Source organism: Homo sapiens, chromosome 20, assembly GCF_000001405.40.
Source record: "Homo sapiens chromosome 20, GRCh38.p14 Primary Assembly".
Classification (NCBI taxonomy): domain Eukaryota; kingdom Metazoa; phylum Chordata; class Mammalia; order Primates; family Hominidae; genus Homo; species Homo sapiens.
In genome coordinates this window covers 9368214-9387265 of record NC_000020.11, presented here as the reverse complement: position 1 = coordinate 9387265, position 19052 = coordinate 9368214, and the positions used below count along the sequence as shown (strand labels likewise).

Here is a 19052-nt window from a genome sequence, read left to right as displayed (position 1 = left end):
TTGTCTGAGTGAGATTAAGAGACTTAAGAAATATAACAAGCATCATGGTTCTGGATGAAATCCTACTTGTGACAAAACGCAATAAAGGACAATTTGGGGGCCGGGCGTGGTGTGTCCTAGGAAGGCGGATCACTTGAGGTCAGGAGTTGGAGACCAGCCTGGCCAACATGGTGAAACCCCATCTCTACTAAAAATACAAAAATTAGCCAGGTGTGATGGCTACTTGGGAGGCTGTAATCCCAGCTACCTGGGAGGCTAAGGCATGAGAATTGCTTGAACCCAGGAGGGGAGGTTCCAGTGAGCTGACATCATGCCACTGCACTCCAGCCTGGGCAACAAAGTAAGACTCTGTCCCAATTAAAAAAAAAAAAAAGGACAATTTGGTTGGGGACAACTGGGGAAATATGAATGTGGGCTGGGTTTTAGATGACATGGGACTGTTGTGGGGTGGGGGGAGGGGGGAGGGATAGCATTAGGAGATATATCTAATGCTAAATGACGAGTTAATGGGTGCAGGACACCAACATGGCGCATGTATACATATATAACAAACCTGCACGTTGTGCATATGTACCCTAAAACTTAAAGTATAATAATAATAAAATAAAATAAATTAAAAAAATTACTTTTAATTTTGATAGGCTGGATAATGTTACTTTGGCCATTTCAGAAAATGTTTAGTGATTCATACTCAGGTATTCAGAGGAAGTTTGCAAATGGAAGTAGTAAGACAGTTAATTTCTTTTAACATATTTCCATATCCAAAAAAAAATGAATTAAAAAAATAAAGTATTGTTTAATTTATAACCAAGAAAAAAACATAATGTAACTACATTTCTTATTTTTCACTTTCATCATTTTTGCCATATTTTAAATCTCAAATATTTGCCAGTTTCTATAAAACAAAAACGATTTTAATAATTTCTACTCTCAGAGAACTAAATTTTTGAACTTTTACATCAAATAAAGCTAATTTACCCTCTCCCTCTCCCTCTCCCCCTCCCCCTCCCTCCTTTCTTCGGTCTCCCTCCGTTGCCGAGGCTGGACTATACTGCCGTGGTCTCGGCTCGCTGCAGCCTCCCTGCCCCGGACTTCCGTGGTTCTCCTGCCTCGGCCTGCCAAGTGCCTGGGATTGCGGGTGTGCGCCACCACGCCTGACTGGTTTTTCTATTTTTGGAGGAGATGGGGTATCGCCCTGTTGACGGGGCTGGTCTCCGGCTCCTGACCTCGAGTGGTCTGCCAGCCTCGGCCTCCCGGGGTGCTGGGATTGCAGACGGAGTCTCGCTCACTCAATGCTCAGTGTTGCCCAGGCTGGAGTGTAGTGGCGTGATCTCGGCTCGCCACAACCTCCACCTTCCAGCCGCCTGCCTTGGCCTCCCGAAGTGCTAAGATTACAGCCTCTGCCCGGCCGCCACCCCGTCTAGGAAGTGGGGAGCATCTCTGCCTGGCTGCCCATCGTCTGGGATGTGGGGAGCCCCTCTGCCCGGCTGCCCCGTCTGGGAAGCGAGGAGCACCTCTGCCCGGCCGCCCCGTCTGGGAAGCGAGGAGCGCCTCTGCCCGGCTGCCCCGTCTGGGAGGTGAGGAGCGCCTCTGCCCGGCCACCACCCCATCTGGGAGGTGAGGAGCGCCTCTGCCCGGCCGCCACCCCATCTGGGATGTGAGGAGCGCCTCTGCCAGCCGCCCCGTCTGAGAAGTGAGGAGAGCCTTTGCCCGGCCGCCACCCCGTCTGGGATGTGAGAAGCGCCTTTGCCCAGCCGCCACGACTGGGAAGTGAGGAGCGCCTCTGCCCAGCCGCCACCCCATCTGGGAGGTGAGGAGCGCCTCTGCCCGGCCGCCCCGTCTGGGAGGTGGGGAGCACCTCTGCCTGGCCGCCCATCATCTGGGAGGTGAGGAGCACCTCTGCCAGGCCGCCCCATCTGGGAAGTGTACCCAACAGCTCCAAAGAGACAGTGACCATCGAGAACGGGCCATGATGACGATGGCGGTTTTGTCGAAAAGAAAAGGGGGAAATGTGGGGAAAAGAAAGAGAGATCAGATTGTTACTGTGTCTGTGTAGTAAGAAGTTGACATAGGAGACACCATTTTGTTCTGTACTAAGAAAAATTCTTCTGCCTTGGGATGCTGTTAATCTATAATCTTACCCCCAACCCCGTGCTCTCTGAAACATGTGGTGTGTCAACTCAGGGTTAAATGGATTAAGGGCGGTACAAGATGTGCTTTGTTAAACAGATGCTAGAAGGCAGCATGCTAGTTAAGAGTCATCACCACTCCCTAATCTCAAGTACCCAGGGACACAAACACTGCCGAAGGCGGCAGGGACCTCTGCCTAGGAAAACCAGAGACCTTTGTTCACGTGTTTATCTGCTGACCTTCTCTCCACTATTATCCTATGACCCTGCCACATCCCCCTCTCTGAGAAACTGAGAAACACCCAAGAATGATCAATAAATACTAAAAAAAAAAAAAAAAAGCTAATTTACAAGTGCCTATAATCAATGGCCAGTTAGCTCAATTGGTTAGAGCATGGTGCTAGTAACAAGTACCTATAATCAACAAAAAACTCAACACGCCTTCTTACAATATGCATGTTTTCTTTTTTGTGGTTTTGGAGGCATATTTTAAATTTACAGTAAAGAAAAGTCTTTTCACAGTAAAGTCTTTTGGATGACTGAAGATTTTTCCGAAAGAGATACTGTCCTTCTTTTCTCAACGTTAAATGACCATGATAATCCATTAAAGGGAATAAACAAATTTCCTTTTCATCCTGATTACTATTTCCTGTTTTTCAGAGAAAAGTAAATTAAACTGAAGGGCATCACACACAAAAAACAAATTGCCATCTTGAGTTCCTCACCTGCAACCAGCCAGGAGAACCTGTCTGTACATTTCTACCGAAGACTTCCCGCCGAACTGTCTGCCAGTGAGATAAGTGTTATGGGAAGAACTGATGAAGTAGTGAGCCAGAGGATGGTCCATTTCTTGGTAAAGTTCTAAACGATCTAGGAAGACTGGGGCGTTTTCATCTGACATCAGATATCTGCAAAACCCATCACTTGATATAAGGCCTAGGGGAAAAAGAACATCTTAGTAGCACTTGTAGCTCTGAAGATGCATATCTCATGTTTTATTCATGGAAGCTGAGGCAGCTTAAATTATAAGAGTAAAAACGTCTTCACAGTCTCTTTCCCAAGAACTTTCATCTGTCAGAACTTGAATGAAATAAGAGAGTTGCACATTATAAGTAACATAATGAATTCCACAAACAGGTGGTATTCTGCTTTTACATCCATGATGGCAGATGTACATGGTCCCCCAAGTTCAGAAACACAGCACTGGGAGTTATGGTGACCAGGGGTCCAGGGGGCCTGTATCAAGTTCTGCTCTTGCTACTCACTCCTTTGGCTCCTAGATCTCAGCTTCTTCTTCTGTCAATTGGGGAAAAAGACTGGACCTATCTGACTTCCAAGATCTTCATAATGGGAAATGAGAATAGATACGAGAGGTGCTCTTTAAAAATGGAAAATGTATTAATTATAAGACATTGTTCTCACTGAATTGGAAAAGGGATTTTTCTTGGAGATGATGGTGCTTCTGAGTTTAAACAATTCAGTTTTCAATTTTATCTAAAAGTCAGGTTATGGGACTGGTGAGAAGAGTATACAGTGGTCATTGAAACGTGGCCCCAAAAGCCACCCTTCATTTCGATCACACCTTTCTGACATGGGGTAGAGCCCACGTGGTAACTACAGGAGCAACAATCAGTATTTATGCAACTTATAAATGGTTGATGCATCGACAGCTTCAAGTTTTTGTTTTATTTAAGAACTTGCAAGTTATGAACTGATTTCAAGCTAATACAGAAGTGTTCAGATGATAGCATAATGAATAGCCACGGGCCTACACCAGTGTGGTCAGATCTCAACATTTTGCCTTATTTGATTTACATTTTTGATTATTTGACTTACATGTAAAAGAATACATAATTTCTGATGCCACTGCAGCATCCTGTATACCCCACCTCAATTCCATTCCATACCAGATAGATAACTAGTATCCTAGTTTTGGTGTTTACCTCCAAAATGGTTCTGCAACCTTACTACATATGCATTTATCCAAACAACGGGTAGTTTGGGCTGTTTTTAATTTTATGTAAAAACTATCCCACTGTGTGCATTTGCAACTTGCTATTTTTATCTTTATATACCAGCTATGTAGGTAGATCTTGTTCATTTATTTTTCACTGAAGGTACAGAAGTCCATATATGAATATATCATAATTTATTATCCATTATTTGGTTGATGGATAGTTAGGTCATTTCTAATTATAAATGAAAGTAGAAATTTGTATACCTCTTTCCTTGGGCACCTTCATTCATTCTAAAGAGCAAGTACTTTTAGAGGCACCAGGATAGATGCAGTGATAGAAGAAACAGGTAAGCCCTGCCTTCATGAAACTCTCATATTATGAGTGACAGAAACAAATAAGTAAACAAATAAATATAATGTCAAAGAGGTACTAGAAGGACAGAGAAAGCAGGGAGGAAGGTGATGAAGCATGGCAGGATGCTGTGTTAAATATGGGCCAGTGAAAGCCCTTCTGAGGTCACGTACATGTGTGAGGAGCAAGCCACGTGCACACCCAGGAAACACCAGTCCAGGCAGAAGGATCATCAAGTGCAAAGACCTTGATGCAGATGTATGCGTGCCAACATCATTCAATGACAGCAAGACAGAGCAAGTGACCAAGGAAAAAGGTAGCTTGAAGTGAGATTGGAGATGGAGCCAAAGGCTACATCACTTGGGCTTTAGTCCTCACTAAGTATTTTAGATTTTATTCTAAATGTGTTGGGAAGCCTTTGGAGGGTTTCAAAGGGTGGAATAACATGATTAGATTTGGTTTTAAAAGGTTTACTCTGGCTGCTGTGTGGACCATAAATTGTAGGGCACTGAGTAGGAAGGAGAAGGCATTGCCTGGAGAGGGATGATGAAGGTTTGGATAGTCAGTAATGTTGGAGATGGTGAGAAGTGATTTATTTAGGATTTCTTTTGAGGCTGGATCTTACAGGTTTTGCAAATGAACCAGACATGATGTGAAAGAATGAAACAAGTCCAACATGAGCCCAGTGGTTTTGACTGGGTAAATAACGGTACTATTTTATAGGCTTTGAAAGGAACATATCTAGGGGTAGGAAGGATCGAAATATGTTGTATATATACATTGGAAATGCCCATTCAACATCCAGATGGAGAGTTCTACTACAAGTCTGTAGTGTAAGCTGGAGGTTAGGACTGGAGAGTTTAATAGAAGAAATGTAAAGCCATTGGCTTGGATGAGCTCAGGTACAGAGTGAATATAGGTGGAGCAGAGATCTGAGAACTGTGCCGCTCTGGTATCCAGAGTTTGGGAAATAGATGAGAGATTCTCTAGGGTACATACCTAGAAGTGAAAATGCTGGGCTGTATAAGAGGCATATTTTTCACTTTATAAACTATTGCCAAAATATTCCCCAAGATGGTTGTACCAATGTAGGGTCTTACCAGAAGTTTATAAGAATGGCTTTGTACTCCATTCTCACCCACACTTGAAAATGACAGACGTTAAAATTTCCATCACTTGTGAAATGGTCAAGCTACCCTTTTTAGATGTGTCAATGGTCACTTCATAGACCTTTAAAACTTAGAAGGAATTTGGAAATAAACAAGGACACACCTCAATCATGACATTTATCACACTGCCAAGGAATTGTTGAATCACTTGTCTTTCTCCTTGAACAGATCGCAACTGCCTTCAAGGCTGGGGACATTTCTTATTGTTTTGAATTCCTAGCATCTGGCACAGTGCTTGGCACCCGGTCAGCCCTCTACAAACTTCAAAGAATGAAGGTAGGGAAGGGAAATACTAGCCAAATTACTGCATGAGCCCCACCACCTTACAAGCAGGGAAACTGAGGCCCAGGAGGCCAGTTCCTAGCTCAAGGTCACAGGGAAGTGACAAGAATCATATCACCTCCTGCCAATGCGAAGTGTTAGATTTTCTACCAAGCTGTACCTCCCTTTGCTGTAATCATAAGCAATGTGAAATAAATTATGATATTCAGAATATTGACAGAGAGGGAAGGAATGAAGCATTCTTGCTTAAAATAGGTATCTTCAGCCATAGCAGAAAGTGTAAACTGTACAACTACAACTAAAGGGAAAACTATTGGGCTTGGAAAAATATCAGGGGTGAAATCATGGAGTGTAGAGGGCCAGGTATACCTAAAAAGAGGGTCCAGATAACATACAGACCATTCAACCACACTCACTGGCATTAGATACAAAGAAAAAAATAGATTTTAAAAAGGAGGAAACTGAGACCTTGAGATTCACGGACATACGGGACCTATGGAACTTGAACTTTCATCTCTTTACATTCTCCACTGAGACATAACGCCAAAGGCTCTAGCTCAGGTACCCCCAGCTCTCCCTCCCATGTTCCGCAGGCATTTCTCACTGCTGTGGGACTGATTTTAAAATTTCTCCCCATGCCTTTCCTTTGACAAATATTTGTGCGAACAACCCTTTGTTTCCAAAGCTTCTTTGAAAGGGACAAAGGTCCAGCAATTAGCTAAGGCGATTCCTGACTATTTAATTTCATATCAATTGTATTTATCTTTCATACCAGAGGTCAAATGAGGGTTACTGCACATCAAATCACGTATTAAATTTATTTGGCTTGGCAAAACAAAAGGGAGAAAAAGAAAAGGTATAAGTTTTTATATGACAAAAATTATTTTCAAGGATTGCAAGTAGAGACTGTATTGGTTGTTTTAATATTTCAAGCAATATGCAATACTAAAATCTAATACAAGAAAGTACATGGGGAAACATCACTATAATGTATTTAATAATACAATAAATGTAACAGTATACTTCAGTCAGGATTGACTAATTCTGATGAAAGGTAAAATTTATACGAACTTAAGAGCAGGAAAAAAAAATAGTCATCAATCCATGGCTCAGGGAGTTGCAAAGCATTTACAGATACCTTTAAATAAACCAAGGCTTTAAAAGTTGCATCTTTTCTTGTTTTTTTTTTTAAGTCCTTTTTTCATGTTTATTACCTTTTTTCTTCAAATCTTCATCAGGTTCATACATCTCAATGATCTGCATTGCCCTTTTGGCATCATAAAATGGAAATAAAATTTCATTCAATCGAGGATCTCGTTGATGCTATGATAAGAAAATAACTCCATTTAGGTTGATATTTCTTGGCCTTGAGGCATTAGACATTACTAAGTTTATAATTTATAAAACAAAATATATCTAGACTGTCATGTTTATAATTACAAAGATAGGACCTCACTGCCTTCCTGCCTTTCTCCTTAAAGTATACTTCAAAAAGTCCACATTTGGGAATACTTTTGGGTTACTCTCCCTGAACTAGAGAGAGAGAGAGAATACATTTTTTCCCCTTCAAAAGTTGAAGGATACATAATAAAGTGTGCATGTCAATTGTACTGTCTTCCAGTTCCCACACAACAGGGAAGACATTTGGCATGAATATCTATAAAACGTGAGGTCAAAATATTTTTAAAAAGCAAACACCAACCCCCCAAAATAGTTCAAATAGGTAATATACTAATTTAAGTGCACCCCTCAAAAACCCCAAAAGCAATAACAACAAAAAGCCTAATGTTACACAGGCAAACATCATCTCTTTTTCATAACACCTTTCTACATCAATCCATGATTTCTTGGGCACTCAACAAATTTCATTTTCTTGAGTAACTATTTTTTTCAAAACGAACCAATTGTAATGATGAAAATTAATCAGTACAAGCATATTTACAAGCTATAAACAATATAGAATTCTCTGGGCAGAGAGTCCATGAATGATTACGGGACTTAAGAGGTTGGTGACATTATTGTTTTCAAATTGACACCTAAGGAGCTCCTGCTATGACATGAGGCACCAGGAGCAATGCTGTCCCTGCAATGGTATCATCCTAACTTCATGGCAATGATGAAAAACCCAGTTTACTAACTTACTCAGCTCCAATAGTGTGTGTTTGTGTGTGTATGTGTGTTGGCAGTGGGTCCACTAAACTTCCTTTCTGTTCACTGAGGATTAGAGGACAGCACTGTGTCCCTGGTCAGCCCTTACAAAAATAATGAATAAGTGAATAAATAAAGCAAACCTCAATGGAAGTTTGGAATAATGACAGATAAGCAGGTGTGAGCAAAACCTGGTCAATAAATAGGACCTTGGTGACAACTCTTTACCCAAATATATGCACGGACTGAAAAACATTGTTGGAAAGGTATTTAAAAAGCAACTGTTAAAAGTTCATATGGATTTCCCTTCCCTATTTGCTTTGGAATGGGCATTGGAAAAGTGAGCTATACACAGAATGAATGCTTTTGGCCAACAGAGCACTTGGATGTCATTTCCTCATGCATATGGGGCCCAGCCTTTTCTGGGTCCCCTCCTCCCCCACCGAGTTAAGAGCATTAACTCATAAGGAATCAATATCAAATTTCATCAATTTATCCCAATGAAGCATGCTTCTGTTGTAATCTAAGAAATTATGGCTCACAACAGCTAACATTCATGCATATGCTACAACAGAAACTGTTATGTTAACAGCAGGCCTCGAGGCCACCAAGAACAAAAGTTATGGGATATGCAGGGAAGAGGATTGTGAGGTGGACCATGGAATGCCAGGCAAGTGAAGGCATGCTACACCTTGTTTAGGAAATTGATGCCATCGTGCAATGGAGCCCACTACTCAAGGAAACAAGGAGCTCCGTCTTTCTGGTGAGAATGCATTGTTTTAAAAACAAACAAACTGACAACAACAACAAACCCATCTTTCTAGGCACATCCCTTCTCACATCTCCATAAATAATATCATGGTAGAAGATGGATAAAGGATGAAAAAGGTCCTTTTTAGACCCCAGCACTGTTATGTTCATAGGTGGCCACTTTATTTATCTTCCTTATTAAAATTAAGTTTTTTAAATTTAAAAATATGTTTGTTGGTAAATATTTTGAACTCATGGAGATGATGAGGCAAATCCATATGAATTAAAAAATGAGAGAAAAAAGGGATTCAGCTACAGGAGAGAGAAGAGATAAAATTAGGAAAGGAGACAGAACTCAGACATTTTTGTGCATTTTAAAATATACATACATGTGTTTATTCTGACAAGGTACTACCTGAAGTGTGATCTGTGGATGGCAGCATCAGCCTCACCAACACCTGTCAACTTGCTAGAAATGCAGCTTCTCAGGTCCCTCCCTAGATCTACTGAATCTGCTGATCTCTGGGGTGGAACCTATTAATCTGTGTTTTTCATAAGACTTCTGAGTAATTCTGATGTGCTCAAGTATAAGAATCACTTTACCTAACATATAAAGGTATGCATTTTAACATATTTGCACATCAGTAAAAAGAAAAGTACCTAAGTCTCACAAGGATAGAAGCATGTTCAGTGTTTCAGATGTCCTCCCAATTAAACACTATTAAAATTTAGTCAGAGGGTATGACATTCATTAGACCATCCTGCCTATGGCAAAACAAAGCCAGGAAAACCAAGCCCTAAAATGGATGTATCATAATCCCCTATTCTGAAAATTACATTCGCAGCAAATAAGCATGAAGTGCAGACAATGCGAAATTGCATTTGTTTTTGCTTCTGCTCCCACTAGATAACAATCTTCAGCTCTCCCTAAAATCTTCATGCTTCAAAAAGGTAACACAAATCAATCTGGGTAATCCAAAGGCAAGGAAACAAATATAAGATTTGCATTAGAGTCAGAAAACTATCATTTTCATATGGAAAAACAAGAGGAGAAGGATCACTTCCAGCTGATCTCACAGTAATAAGGCTGCAGTAGAGTTCCACAGAGACACAAGCACAGTGAGGTGAATGTTTCACATCTCTGAGGAACCATCAGTTTTCAGCCAGGATTTGGGGAAACAAGTTACTCAGGTTATTCACCCCATGGTATCCAGTGCTTTGTAAAATGAGATTCTAAATGACTTCCAAAAATAGGTCACAGAACTGTGTCCAAGTAAGTAAGGAGGAGATGAAGAGAACTCCAGTATTACGTCCTTACTGGTGCTGAGAAGAGGCATCGTCTGGCTTCAATCCAAGTAGCACTGGGAGAGATGAATGTTGACATAAATAATATTTTAAAAATATAGAAGGAATAATTGGCAAGGATAAGCTTACTCATAAGACTAAATACCCTCCTTCTCTCTCTTTGCCTGTGCATTTAAAGCATAAAGATCTTGTAAAAGGAAAGAGATCATGGGTCCTTTTAAAATATTCTTTCATCTGCAAAAAGAAAAAAGTCAGGTTGAGCCCTGATGTGATCCTATGATATGTGTGAGGAAGGGGGAAGATTACCAGCAACAAGAAAGTAAAGCTACTCCTTGATTCCTGTGGCCACCTAAGGCCTTTTCCCTCTCTTCCTTGTTTTTATCCCTCTCTCCTGCCCTCCACCCATCTCCCAATTCTGCAGGACCCTAGTTATCATCTTTGTAAGAAGTCAAACAAAGAATGAAGGTAAAACTAAAAATCAATTTTGCTTCTCATTAGGAATAGGGAAAGGGAGGTAAAACTAACCAAAGCCAAGAGGTTTTATCTAGTCTTGCCACATACAAGCAATTGAGCCAGTAGTAGTGTCTCACCACGTGGCAGCTCACATTAAGTGCCTCTGCTATCCCTCCTGGACTCTAGTTTGCTATTTTCATATTATAGGCAAAGAAGATTTCCCTCAGTCCATTGGATGAGACTAAGAGACATAGATGTGGCAAAATTTTAGCTCTGAGTGGTGGATTCCTATGGCTAAATTCTTAATGGAGAATAACAGAAGGTATATGTCGCTCTCATATTCTTCCCACTCACACTAAACATTCCAAGGAGGAATCCAGTAATCCACTAGGATGGTGCTTTACAAACTTGAATGTGCAGATAAATCACCTGGAGATCTTGTTAAATTCAGACTCTGACTCAGCAGGTCTGGGTGGGACCCAAGACTGAGCATTTCTAATAAGCTCCCAAGGGGTGCCGATGCTGCTGGTCCATGGATCACACTTTGGGGAGCAACGAACAAGGAAATACTGAGAAGCCAATGAGGAGTCAGGTCTAAAGCTACTACTGAAAATCTAGTCAGTGTTGATTGCATGGATAGGGAGGAGGTCACCCTACAGGGTGACCAAAGCAGTAAATGGACTATATATATAGTCTCTCCTCTCCTTGCAGCCCCCTGAAGATACACATTAGTATATGAATAAAAACTTTCATAGAAAGAGTGAAAGGATTAACCAGCTGGAAGGTGGTAGGAACCAGCATGTCTTTTGCTAATATAAATGGGATTTATGTTTTCCTACTATCTATTCTACCTGGTTAATGGCAGTGTATGTGTGTCTCCAGGTTTTTGCTTTGCTCATTGTTTCTCTGGTTACCTTGCTGAACTCTCTAATTACTTCAAACAGTTTTTCCGTGGAATTGTTTATATCAGAGTAGACAATCAACATCTGCAAATGAGACTAGGACCTTGTCCTTTCCAGTGTTCATGGGACTTGTTTATTTTTTTGTCTCATTATATGAACCAGTGGAGTGGAAAAACTTGAAATATTTTCAAGTAAAATAAACATCGTATCATACTCAAAGGATTATTTAAAAGTAGAGGCATCTGTCTGATATGTGGGGTAGTACTTGCTCTTTCTTGCATCAGTGCATTTACACTTCAGTTAACAGAGTTTCTAAAGTGCAAGCTTTATAAATTTGAAGCCATTGAACCTTCACAAGGAACCTTCACAGGGGCTTCCAATGCAGTGTTGAATACTGGCTTGTTGAGACTATGTGGCTAAGGCATTTTGAAAATGTTTAGGTTTAAACTCTTGGAGTAATTGACCCTTACATTCCAATGCCCATTCTTTCTTGAGTGAGCTCTGTCTGTCTCCTTTTGTTATGAGTATTGAAGTTGTTCTGCCCAAGGGGTGTTTTTGATTTTGGAGAGATAAGAGGGGCCAGGGTAGGACTCAAAAGAGGGAGTGCAAGGAACAGGCAGAATGTTCTCTATGTTTGACAAGGCTTCTTCAAGCCGACATTCATGTTTTTGTCTAGTTCTTCCAGTTGAGTTCACTAGGATAGAAAAGGAATAAATTCAGGGCAGACACTTGGATTAAAAATAAAGGCTATAGACTTTCCTGAGTAGTCTTACAGTTCCTATGACCTAAAGAAATCTAGAATCACACCGATTCCATCAGTCACACCCCAAAATTTAAGGTACTTCCTTAATGTTAAGAAGACATCAAATAGAAGGAAACACTATTAAAAAAAAGAATACTATTGTCTACTGTAATTGTGAGGGATAAAAGGTTGACAAATAATAAATACTTAAAGAAAGAATCTGAATGGCAGAACAAGAAAGTATGGATGATGATATTTTTAAAAAATTAAATGTTATGTCTAAGAATTACAGGAGTGACTGTTGGGAGCACCAACAAAAACAACCCATAAAAGGAAATGCATTAGATAAGAGCCTATAAATACTGCACTTATCCTCAAGACCTAAGAGTTGCTTCATTCTTTAACAGTGAAATGCAGTATTAAGGTCTCTGTAATGTTTAAGAGAGGGCTTCATCCCAAAGAACACAAGAGGCCTTGTCTTGGAAGTGGCAAACTGAAGATGTGGTAGATTTTCTCCTTTACACTAAACCGTCTTCCCTCTTCACCTCACCAAACCTAAGATGATCACTGAACCAAAGTGCATGAAGAAGCCAAGGGATATAAAACAAAACAAAACAAGAAACCAAAAAACAAAAGGCAGAAGAAGGGGAAGGGGTTAAAGAAACAAAACAAAGCAATTTAACTTCTGAGCAGCTGTGGCATAAGAACGTGGATAGTATCTGGGTAAAGATTATGAACATTGTATTTATATGACTAAAAACCAGTGGAGTGGAAAAATTTGAAATGTTTTCGAGTAAAATAAACATTGTATTGTACACGAAGGATTATTTTAGAGGCATCTGTCTGATATGTGGGGTAGGATTTTCTCTTTCTTGCATCAGTGCATTTACACTTTAGTTAACATAGTTTCTAAAGTGCGACCTTTATAAATTTGAAGCCACTGAACCTTCACAACGGAAGAAAAGAAGATGTAATTTGTCTCTATGAAGTGGCAAATTAAGGTCTGCCTTTTTATCTTTTCTTAAGATAATACGTTTTATCTGGCATGATACCATCTTTTCTTGCATTTTCTCTTTATATGGTATAATGATTAACTTAAATTATTTTGAAACAAAAGCATACTGTCCATCCTTCACTCAAACTCTTATTAATGTGTTAGAAAAAAAAGTGAATTTTCCATTTTGGATTAACAAGAGTCTTGATGGGTTTCACTGAAGGGAAAACTTTTTTTGTATGTGTGAAGAAAAAAGTAGTTCATTTTAGTTGTAATAAAAGTTGCAAACTTTTTTTGTTCGAAAATATTTTTCTCTTGTGCTTAAGCAATTCTATCTATCAGTTTTGGTTGTTAAGTTAATCACATTCTAAAATTAGCTCTGAGCTTGTTATAAAAAGAAAAAGTACAAATTTAACCTGCAATCCTATTAGCCTAAAACTCAATGTATTTTCACCCAGGAACTCAAGTGTTTTGCTTGTTGTCAAAATATTCTATTTGAGCCAACATATTTTTCTTACATGCAATCCATTAAAAGACAAAAATAAAGCTTTCCAGTCCATGCAAAGGTATGAGATAAAGTTAGCAATGGAGAATCCAACTACAGTGTAGTAAACTCAATCCATTCTCTTTCTATTTAATGAGATCAATAGAAAAAAAGTACCTTAAATATCATCTTGCAAAAACACAGACACATTTACTTAAATGAATATATTATACAATTCACACATACACACAGAACCAGAGCTACATGTAACAGCCAGAAACCAACAAAAAGTGGTGTGCAAAGCCAATGTGAAGAAAGCACATGAACACACAGGGCGGCAGCTGATTTTTGCACCTGGTAAAGCCATAATGGAAAGATCAGCAGGTCAGAAGCAAAGCGAATAAGGGCATATGATGCAGGCATGCAATGAGGACACCAGAGAAGGCAAGCCACTGCACACAGACTTTATGGAGTTAATGTATGAAAAAGCTTACTTCATTTAGAAAGCTCACTAATTGGTCTACCGTTAAATAATCAGTTTTGTCTCCATTGCTGAAAAGAAATTTATTAGAAAAAGTAAGTTTTTGTATATGATGCTACAGTATGTACGATTTACATGTTGACATTTGTTGATGATAATTCTAAACTTATTTTCTAACCCTGAAGTAGTGGTGAATTCTTAAAATGGCCAGAGACTGTTCATAAAGGGAGAAAAATAAAACAACAACAACAACAACAACAGAAGGAAAACACTCCCACTAGGTCACAGAAAAAGTCTGCAATTTTTTTTTTTTTTTACCGTTTTCAAAAGATATTATTTCAAAAACAACATGTAAGTCATCCATTTGAAATAATTGGAATGAATCAACTTTTCAAAAACATATTAACATTCCAAATTGAATCTAGTTAGTTCACATAATGGGTTAATACCTAAAGGAGCAGGTTAAAATTGTAGGTAGTTAGTAAAGCCAATGCAAAAAAAAGTTCCAGGTGCTGCAATTAATATACGTAAAAGTTTCTCAAAAACTCAGAGTGAACTTTTACACTGATAAAGTATGGGGTTAAAAATGTAACCCTGACTAGATATTCCTAGATGCTACCAACATACTCTATTAAAATAGGACAAAAACGTTTTAAAAAATCGAAAAGGACAGTGATAATATTTATATGGCACTTCCTCATAAGTGGAACTTACATTTTTTTGAAAAGATCTTCTATATCTGTCCGAGGACAAATCTTTTGTGTCAGTTCATAGAACTTTTCATAAGAAAATGCTGTGGGCTCAATTTCATCATTCTGTAAGGAATAAAATCATGTTATGAATCACAGAACCGTTTTTCCCTTGGAGGGTGAGAAGCTACAGGGTCATGAAGCACAGTGAAGACCACTTGGACTCAGGGTCTTCATCTCTGATTCCTGCTGACAGAAGCCAGGAGGCCAACTTCCAGGCACTGCCAGGCCATCTCACTAAAAAACAGTGCGTGTACATCAGTGTTTCTAGTTATCATGCTGCCAGATTCTGTGTGTGCGAACACCTGGCTACAGCTGGCCTTGCTCTGGGAAATACCCCAAAGAACGAATATAAATATTTCCTCCAACTCACCTTGAGGGAGAAAAGTGCCTGCCTGAGGGATGCTGAATAAATCAAGCCCAAGGTTTAATTATGCTTATTTTGTGAATTTTTGCAAGACCATGTGAACGGGCTTAGGGTAACCATGTAAGATTTTACTTTTCAAACTGAAATTTATATTTCAAATAGGACTTATTAAAATAGTACCAGGCTTCAATCTTTCTTCAAGTCAATAAATTAATTTCAATTATTTTAAATTTGAAGGGCCATGAATACAAATGGTGCGGGGAGAGATGCTTCACAAAATATTGCATAGCCATCTTGTAGAATTGAATTTATTAGTTAATTATTCATGCTAATGTTGTGCCTGGTTGAGGCAGTGTTGGTGAGCTTCTCTAAAATAAAAACTGTGTAACACAGCAAGCTGGCCTTCATTTCCTTTTCTTAAGAAAGGTGACAAAAATCATTTGAAGCAAACTATTTACATTTTTAGAGATTTAGGTTAAAATGCCCAGGCAACAAAAGGAAGGAAGGGAGGAAGGAAAGGAGGGAGGGAGAGAGGAAGGGAGAGGGAGGAAGAAGAAAGAAAAGAAAATTAACTGTACTATATGTCACTGACATATAATTCCAAATCTAATTTAGATCAGTTTAATATAAATAATCTAGCTCATTACATATGAGAAGATAAATAAACAAAATGGTTTTAGAAATACATTATTAAGTTAATGCATACCTTTCCACTGGGAAGACCTAACTCCTTGAGTGCTTGAAAGATCACCTTTTCTGTTTTTCCCGATGCAAATGTTCTAGTAATACTAGGGCAGAAAAGAAAGAAACACACATTCCAGTTATTGTTCATTATGTTTTCTCTGATGCAAAGATCCAGGTCCTACTATGGAGAGTGAGACTAGGGTAAAAGGAAGAGGAGAATAAAATTACCTCTCATTGCAGATGTTTTTCATTTCCCAAACTAGTTCCTCCAGTGTCCCTCTGGTTCCCAGAGCTGGTTAGTCTAGTGATGCAACTTGAATCTAAGACCAGGGGTCCCCCTGGTGCTTGGGAGAACAAGGGGCAAGCGGCACTGGAGGGACACACATTTATTTTTTATTTTTTATTTTTTGAGACAGAGTCTCACTCTGTCACCTAGGCTGGAGTGCAGTGGCGCTATCTCAGCTCACTGCAACCTCTGCATCCCAGGTTCAAGCAATTCTCCCGCCTCAGCCTCCCAAGTAGCTGGGACTACAGGTGCACGCCACCACACCTGGCTAATTTTTTGTATTTTTAGTAGAGACGGGGTTTCATCATATTGGTGAGGCTGGTCTCAAACTCCTGACCTCAGGTGATCCACCCACCTCGGCCTCCCAAAGTGCTAGGATTACAGGCATGAGCCACAGCGCCTGGCCTGGGACACACATTTTTGGACAAAAACAATGATAAATTCTGATGCTACCAAATTGCCTTCTTATGAAAAAGGAATGTGGCAGATAAGACAGTAGCTCTAGAACAAACCCTCATGTTGACAATAACTGGGCCTAGGGAAAAGGAGGCGGCCCCTTACAACTCAATCCATGCCTTCAGTTGTCCTTATCCTGGTTCCCACACTTAACCACAGTTGACACGGGCGTGATCAGACATATTTTGTTCTTGTTTTCAAGCTAAGCACCCTTGAGCCCCTCTGAAATGTCAGCTGCCTCAAGGATAAGGGACTTTACTGTCAACATGATGGGTTGGGTGAGGGGGAAGGGGAACAATTATCCAATGTTTCAACAAATCTCAGTAGTACCCCAAGACATAGTATTTTTGGATAGCCTTTTAACTAGAACAGTGAGCATCAAGGCTAGTAGAATAGATAACACCTTGATGAACACACTTCCTGGTGATGATAAAAGTTAGGAGAGACTCTCCATTATAAATGTGTTGGTGCCACTCAGAATGAAAGCTATTGAGCAGAGGACTTGGTACCCTGGAACACCACACTTGGCTCTGAGCCATACCTTAGCCACCAAGGAGCCTTCAATCGCTCCCTGATTGGAAGCCCAGGTAATGTGTTACCATGATAATTTCATTTTAACTCGACATTCAGAAGTCCAGCTTGACTTGAGGATGGAGTTTTACTTCTATCCATGAGGGCTGGCTTTGGAATGCCTCCCCTGTGAGCACAGAAGGATTTTTAACAGCATCTCATGCCCAGCGTTTTTGTACTTTCCGCCATCCGTGCTAAGTAGAAGGCAAGTTCTGAATGAGAGTGCTGACAGTTCCTCTTCCTGAGTGGGAGAAAGCACCACTTCAGTGGCAGAGTAGGACTTCCCAAAATAGACTAAGAAGTAGCTGTAGGTAAATGAATTATGTGTTCATTCACAGCTTTATTGTTTCATGCCAGGTCCAAGAATACTTCAAGAAGTACATTTTTAAGAGTTCTTGAGACAGTTGTATTCAAATATAAGGAGGCCTGTGAATTCTCTTTAACAAATCTACAAATATGGGAGAGAATATGTGTGTGACATCAATAAATGGTTAAGATTCCTAGTATAGAGGGTGCTATGTTTACATTTTTCATCTCTAGAGTTCAGGTAATTTTTATACATTAAATTTGGGGTAAGACAAAAATTTTGTAGCCTTTTTAATTTAGGGGAAAGTAGCTGTTCAGGGTGACTATTATTTCATAAAAAGTTTGTGTTAACCTAGCTAGTAAGACTCTGGCAGGATCTGGCATTTGCTCTCAGGAGAACAATCTTTGCATAGCAATCTCAGGGGTATCCCAGCTAACTGAAGCCTCTGTTAGGTTTGGACATGCCTGGCATAACGAGATGAAAACTGATCAACGTGGGCATGAAATCAGCGGGTGTGGAGACTGAGCCTTTCTGGTGAAACAGAACCTGGGTACCAATAGCTTCTGTTTCCTACACAGAAATTGAATCTTTTGGCTAGGGTTTGGCCAGGTGCCAACAAATAGAAAGTAGAAGAATGTCTCAAGGGGAAGGGAGATGGAGGGGGCCAAGAAGGGAGATAATATCGTGGCTGTGTTTCATGGGAACATAGAGCATTTACAAAGGGAATGTGATTTACTCAAATCTCTATATAGCCCCATGTTCACATAAGCTTAGTGCCTCATAGCTAACTGGTACTCAATGAGTTTTTGTTGAATCAAACTAAACCACCCCCATTCCCCAAAAGAAATGCTACAAAAGCAAACACCCCTGAGTTGTGTCCAGTCCTATTAGAGTCCTGGTTAAATTCTATTCCGGGGGACTTCGCAAGTGGCTAAAACAGCAACGATCCTAGAAACTAAGGGAGTCCCACTCTTTGCTAGCTGAAACAGGGTCTGCAATCTACACGATGGTTTTAACACCGTGTTCTGAAAGTTACAGAGAACTCTTGAGTGAAGGATGGGGCAACTGCCCCAGCAGAATCATACCTTCTTCGTGGGCTGCTGGGCCTTCAGGACATGGTTGGGCTGATTATATAGGGATGCTTCCAAGACGGCACCTGCGGCTCTCAGCCTTCTTTAACACAGCCGTTTTGTTTGGGATCTCTTCCAGCCCCTGCCCACAACTACTGTCTGGCTACTCACTTCCCAATTTTCTAGTCATTGGTGTTCACTCCAGGTTACGAGAGAGGAGGGAAGGTGGCAAAAGAGAATTGCTATTTCCAAAACTTTGGTCTGAGTGGGAGGATAAACTGAGTGTAAATTTGTGAATTTGAGAGAAAGGCAGACTGCATGGGTTATGTAAACAGCAAGACAAGAGAAGAGGGAGACAAAAGGTAAGACTTTCTTCATGTGTTATTCCTGCAACTTCCTGGATATTAAATTTTGG

General features: G+C 40.1%; 1 protein-coding gene across 19 annotated transcripts in view; it reads right to left on the bottom strand.

The window, feature by feature from the left end:
• Window positions 1-19052, bottom strand: part of PLCB4 (phospholipase C beta 4) — a 412131-nt gene that overhangs the window by 93543 nt on the left and 299536 nt on the right. For 17 of the 19 annotated variants that reach the window (XM_024451898.2, NM_001377134.2, XM_005260724.3 and 14 more), the window contains 5 exons: window positions 15971-16052; window positions 14863-14963; window positions 14162-14219; window positions 7104-7212; window positions 2855-3065 (listed from right to left, as the gene is read on the bottom strand). In XM_024451898.2, coding sequence (XP_024307666.1) covers window positions 2855-3065; window positions 7104-7212; window positions 14162-14219; window positions 14863-14963; window positions 15971-16052 — 561 coding nt within the window. Of the gene's footprint in view, window positions 1-2854; window positions 3066-7103; window positions 7213-14161; window positions 14220-14862; window positions 14964-15970; window positions 16053-16176; window positions 18318-19052 lie in introns of those variants that run through there. The other 2 variants (XM_011529254.3, XM_047440205.1) reach the window with 2 other exon arrangements.